This window comes from Homo sapiens, chromosome 3 (assembly GCF_000001405.40).
Source record: "Homo sapiens chromosome 3, GRCh38.p14 Primary Assembly".
Classification (NCBI taxonomy): Eukaryota; Metazoa; Chordata; class Mammalia; order Primates; family Hominidae; genus Homo; species Homo sapiens.
The window spans coordinates 137,344,909-137,351,568 of NC_000003.12; the positions used below are offsets into that span (position 1 = coordinate 137,344,909).

At 42.5% G+C, this 6,660-nt stretch overlaps 1 annotated feature.

Annotated features, from left to right (window-relative positions):
* Window positions 3,872-5,175: an enhancer, noted in NCBI's record as "VISTA enhancer hs210". NCBI's record gives its function as "enhancer in: hindbrain (rhombencephalon)[3/4]" and the evidence as "EXISTENCE:transgenic organism evidence [ECO:0001131][PMID:17130149]".

Here is a 6,660-nt window from a genome sequence, read left to right on the forward strand (position 1 = left end):
ATGGGTTTAAAGCTCAACCAATTTAATTGAATGGACATGAATCAGGTACCTCTTCTGAACTGAATAGGGGATTCACCTGGGAAGGCGACCCAAGCCCTCCTCCCGAGAAGCTTCCTTCTCTCTATACTCACACCAGGCCCTAAGCAGGGCAGACTGTAAACAACAGTATAGTAGGATTAAGTATAAAATATACTAACCACCCTTACTGAGCGATTGCTATGTATCAGACTTTCGTCCAAGTCTCTTGACTAGATCACTTTGCTTAACAAAGAGACAGAGAAAAATGGAGGAAGAGATAATGCACACTCATTAGTCCATTGGTTCTTTCATTCAGACAGTAAACAGTCCCAGACCATTCACTCTTTTCCAAGCTCTGTGCTAAGCACTGAGGACATACAAGTGAATAAGGCAAGTCAACATTCCATAGAAAAATGTGATGTGAATCAGAAAATGATGTGCAAGATTAAAAACTTGTGGCATATGATTGTGTTGTGAGGCTATGGGAAAGAAGGGTCTTTATTGAAGAGCTACTATGGCAGCTTTAGTTCCAATTTTCACAGGAATGGGAAGAGTAAAAATGGGTGTCAGGGAGGCTGGGTGCCCTGTTCAGTGATGAAGCATCATATGTGAGAGTCTTGTATGGGCCACCTGCCCAGGGCTGTCTGGGAGGCAAACAGGGGAACCTGGAGGCTGAGAGAGGAGAAGGGGTGGTTGTAGGAAGGAGAAGGTTCAAAATCCCCAAATGGTTGTGAGCAACACACATTCTGTCTCCATTGCCTGTCTTCCTCACTTCAGTTTCTCATGGGCTGTCTTCCTTTCCTCCCATTGTCAGCCACTCTCCTCTGCCACCAGCTTAAACTGTCTGAAGCTCAACTTCAATCATACTAATAATAGCTAATACTTACAAAACCCTTCTTCTGTATACTGTTTTAAGCTCTTTATAAATGTATAAATGAATTTAATCTGCACAATCCTGAGAGGTAGGTACCATTATTATCCCCATATTACACATGCTATCACTGAGACCCAGAGATGAGACCTGTTTCAGGTCACAGAGAAGTGAAGGGAAGAGAGAGACTGAACCCCAGATAGTGGGCTACACAACATACACTTCAAGTGGCCAGGCCAGGCTCTGGGGCTTGTGTTATCTAGTAGTTTAAAAACATACCCTGGCTTGCTATCCATATCACAAGTAAATCTAGATGTTCACTTGTGATTTGGCTGCAATTTCCAGTCCTTTGTCCCACTGCCCATAATGTTCAGTCACTCGTCAGGCAAACAGAATTACTTAACAAGCTTTAATGTACCCCTTGGCTTCCTGCCTCTTTACCTTTGCTTCTTTTTCCTCCTCCTGGAAGGTCTCTTCCTTTGCAACTCCAAATCTACCTACCCATATTCAATGACCAGCTTAAGTACCACTTTCTCTACAAAGGCTTCTTGATTCCTGAGTTGAAAAATTGCTCTCCCTCCTCTGAACTCTCATGATACTTTTATTTATTTATTCATTTATTTTTTGAGACAGGGTCTCTTCTGTCACCCAGGCTGGAGTGCAGTGGCATGATCGTGGCTTACCGCAGCCTCAACCTCCTAGGTTCAAGAGATCCTCCCACCTCAGCTTCCCAAGTAGCTGGGACTACAGGCATGCACCACCACATCCAGCTAAGTTTTGTATTTTTCATAGAGATGGGGTTTTGCCGTGTTGTCCAGGCTGGCATTGAACTCTTGAATTCAAGCCCTCTGCCCACCTTGGCCTCCCAAATTGTTGGGATTACAAGTGTAATCCCACTGTGCCTGGCTGTCATGATAATTTTAAATTTACAATGTCTCTTGACCCCTTTATATACAAAGACTTGTGGTACCTTATAACTAAGGTAGACATACTTTATTTCCATTTTAATTTGTAAGCTTCGTGAGGCCTTCTCCTCTGTGCTGCACCTCCCCTGCCCTTGAAGCTTCCTTAGTTGCCCACCACTTCAATTCTTCCCCTGACTAACACTCTGGCCAGGACCCATGACACACTGAGCACTCAAGGATAAAAAACAGAGTGGCCAGATGTCCTGGCTTACCAAGGACTGTGCTGTTTTACATCTGTGGGTTGGGTGTTATTATCAATAGTGGCCTCCTCACTTTCAAAATGTCACAGTGTGGAAGATAAATCCTTATTACCCAGGTAAAAGTCACTCTCTAGGCAGGGCAGTGTGGCATTGTGGTTAAGACCTGGGACTCTAGGATCAGACACCGTGGGTTAGAAACCCAGCTTTGTCATTTGCTGTCCTTGTGGCCCTGAGCAAGTATGCCTGGAAACCCTCTTCTGTGAAGCAGGCATAACCGCAGTCCCCCACTCATCCATAGGCAACTAGGAGGACCAGATGAGTCAACCTTGTAGACTTGCCTGGGATGCAGTAGTAGTGCTCACCAACAGGAGGCAATGCTTTTGGGTATCCACAGGTCCAGCTGTACTCTTACCAGGTGTTAGTTGTCTTGGTTTATAAATCTGTTTTATAATAGCTGTGCTTAATAATGTAACCATGAAATTGAATTAAACATTACATAAACTGATGATAAGTGTGACAAGAGGAATTGTTGCTTCTTTGAACATTAAATTGAATGCTTTGGATTTGATAAAGGTGAGTCACTAAAAAATAGCTGTTGAATTACATGTGGGTAAAATCACTATAAAAGATTGGGAAACAAACATCTACAAAGTTTCTGCACTTAGGTGTCTTAAAATGACTTTAAGTTATTGCTGTAACTCATAGAAGCTAAAATTGTGGGTGTTTGCACAGGAAAGGGAAGGCAGAACTCCTTTAGCACATGCACATCGAAAGAAAAGATTCTGACCCAGCAGCAAAATAATAGTGAATAAATTGCACATTTGTGTGTTTTAGTTGAAATAAAACATGTAAGATCTATTTACATAACTTTTTTTAAAGCCTCACAACTTTAGTGGACTTTTTTTTTTCAGCGACTGCTATCTCTTGTGTGGACTGTTGTAGATAAGAGGACAACTCTAAACACTTTTTGAATTAATGAGTAAACAAATGCTTGGGATTAGAGGGTCACTGTAGAAAATGGTGTTGGCTCTGCTTTTCTTCTGTTGACCCTTGCCTCTAAAGGTCAAGCCTGCTTGCTAGGGATGCCTTGCACTCTTCATCTGAGAGCTTTTATTTCTGGCTGCAGGAATCACTCTGCTGACATGCAGGGCAAGTCAGGAGTGAGTGTGGGAGAGTTAATGACACAGAAATCAGTCCCTCCAGTGACAGACAGGGACTTGGTAAATAAATAACTTGGGTTCCTCACCCACCATTGAGACATCTGTGAGGCAAGTTCTACAGTCTCCCAGAGTGCCCCAGGTGCCCACAGTGGTAACTTACTTGACAACACAGCCTCTGCTGCTGCCTCTCCTCCATGCTGCACCTCCTCACTCCCACAGTGATGTTTCCCAGGATCACCTCCCAAATAAATGACTTGCTCCTGAATTCTTGTCCTAGAGTTTGCTTCTGGGGGACCCAAACGAAGACATAGCCCCAAACCTTAGGGCTTAGGATAATGTCTTTCACATAGAAGATGTACAATAAAAGATGTACAAATTTGATCAAACCAAAGAGCACAAATTTACTCAGGATGCGTTTAAAAAATTACCTGATTTGATTGAAGTTGAAACAAAGTATTAAGATTTTGAAGTCAATAAATGTTGCCACGTTAGTTGTTACCAGACCAGTTACCATAATAGTTTTTTTTTTTTTTTAATTTACATCCAGATGTTTTCTCTTGTACCTGAAGTCTTTGAGCAATTTGAGCCATGGGAATTAAGCTTCAAATGCAGGCCCAACAAAGTCAGTAAGGTCTCCTTTATTTCCTGTCCTCTCTTATTCTGTCCAAAGAGAGGGAGCTGTTCTCCAGGGGTTCTGCATGGGTCTGCTTCTGCTTCAGGTTGGTTGGGAGGCAGCGCAATGGCTCCCAGGTTCTCAATGATGATGAACCCTGTGTCTGTGGGCCAAATAGCCTTCTCTGAGCCTTAATATCTTCCTCTGACTAAAGGGCCCAAGACCTTGGTGTTCATAAAAATGTTCGAAAACCTCTCACTTGTTAATTCCCCAGTGCATCCCCACCCTACACTGAGCACACAGCTTAGACTGTGTGTTCCAGGACGAGCATAAGGCCCCAGGCGCCATGCCATACCTGATGAGGTCTGTAGATTCATGTGAGCAGCAGCAGCTGCTGCCTGGGAAGTTATCCAACGCTCCATCAAATCTCAACAACTGTCCTGGGATGGCTGTGCTGGCTGGGATTGCCCACTGCAGCCAGCAGAAGCCCATACACACCTGTGGTTAATCCCCCAAAGCAGCAGTTCCGGTCTATGAAGGGCAGGCAACATCCGGGCTGGGCACGGAAAGGTGAACAAACACTACCAGTGCCCTGCCAATTGCCAGTCCCTTCATTCTGGTGTTTTTTCTTGGGCAAATTTGGTTCCTGAAATTAATTATTCAACAGGAGGTGACAGCCGGTGTATAGCAGCTCTGTTGGAACAGAGAATAAAAAGGCACATTGGACACAGCAGCTGCACCTCCCAGACCCTGAAATTTAAGATCTTTATAAATGATCTGTTAAAACTATAGTGACGATAAGCTTATGAATCATGATCTATATTAATCAGGGCTGCTGATATGGAAAGATTAATTGAAACGTGCAGTTCTACACAAATGATAAAGTGGTAACAATTTAATATCAGACAAGAAGAGTGAAGAAATTACACTCCAAGCTTCATGCATCATTACTATGGATATTAATATTTTACCCAGCGCAACAGCATCGGGAATCATAATGAAAATCCATAAGTGGTGCACAGACATGATTAAATACAACAGTCTTTAGGAGCTGTTTGGTGGCGGCAGTTGGGCCATATTTCACTCGGCGGCTGGTGATTCCAGTGATAGAGTCTAGACGAGGGTGATTAAAAATTGTTCCTCCTAAAGGCTGTTAACCTTTTACTACTAAAATGAATTTCTTTGATTTTTAAATTATGTTGTTCTCTTTGCTCTTTTCAATACCAAATTTGATCCCAAACCTTGACAGGGTGCTGGGTCCTTGGCATAGTGACAGTCAAAGCAAAATTTCTCAGCTGTAGTCCCCTGCCTCAGGGTGTGGCCTTGACCAGGTCATGCAGAATGTTGGGTCATTTTCTGCCTTCAACCAGGGCTGGCTGGAAAGAGTGAATGATAAACTATCAGGGGCTTCTAGGGAGTTCCCAAAGACCAGAAGTTGATAAGGCTGACCTCCTTACCCAACCTTAAGAGAGTAGAGATGGAAATGACTTATTTCGAGATCCTGGTCTCACTGGCTTAATTAATTCATTTATTCAATCACTCATCCAACCAATAAGCAAACAAGCATGCACTCACACCTGGGAAATGCAAAAATCAGCCCCAATAAACACATGTTCCATGCTGAGGAGATTAAAACCTGAATCACTGTGATGGCTTTAAAAAGAAGCCAGAGAGAGTCAAGAACAGCATCTTTGCCAGACTGTTTCTTCCTCCCTGTGAAATCTTAAATCCCATAAGCCAAGAGAGAGTCTCCTGACCTCTTTTGTCTTCAGCTGAAACAGAGAGTTTAGTGTATATGTGCAGTAGTAAAATTTATCTCCACATCAGGTGGTAATAAGAAATACAGCCTATTTCCTTAAGGACATTATATCCATTTCTTCAGTATTCTGGTTTCTTAGGTCTCTAGAAGTGATCCTCAAATTTTAGCATGCACAAGTATCAACTAGAGAGGGAGGGGCTTATTTAAAATGTAGTTTTAAAGGGTCTCCAGGGTGTCCCTGGAGATTTCTGGGAATCTTTTTTTCTGAAGAACTCTCTCCTTTCTGAAACTCCCTCCTGCAACTTCCAGCCACGTCAACCTCCCTGAACTCCTATTTATCTTCTCAACTCAGTGAGACCATGTCCTTGGTTTGGGAGCTATTTGCTGCTTTGTGGTCTGGAATGTGTTTTCAGGCAAAAAGCTGGTGTATCACAGAACTCATCTTCTCCGTTTTCCCTCTTTCACAAATCACAATTCTGGGCTGCTTGTTCTCTAATGTCTGGAAACAGTTGTTTCATACATTTTGCCTGTTTTTTAAAAGGCTTACAGTAGAAGGGTAAATATGGTCACAATTGCTTTCATAGGGCTAGAGATGAAAGTTGCTACCATCACTTTTTACCTGAAATACTGCAATAATGTCTTGATTTTCATACCGTCCAACTTTTCTATCTGATGTTCTACCACTCTCTTTATTCATGAGGCTCAGCCACAACCAATGTCCTCCTGTTCTTTAACTATGCCAGTTATCTCTCAAACCTGGGGGCTTTGTGCTTGCTCTTCCTTCTGCATGGAATACTTCTCTTATTCAGGTTTGCAATTCAAATGTCACTTCATCTGAGAGGTCTACCTTGACCACCTAGCTAAAGTCAACATCCAATATCAAAGTTTACTATATTGTATCTAGACCACTTCCTCATTGACTTCATTGCTTTCTGATGTATTTGCTTACATGTTTACTGTTTGTTATCTCCCACTAGAATGAAAGTTCCATGAGTCAGGAACCACATATACCTCGTTTATCATATATCTCTAGTGCCTAGAACCATGTGATAAATACTCAAAACTACTTATTGA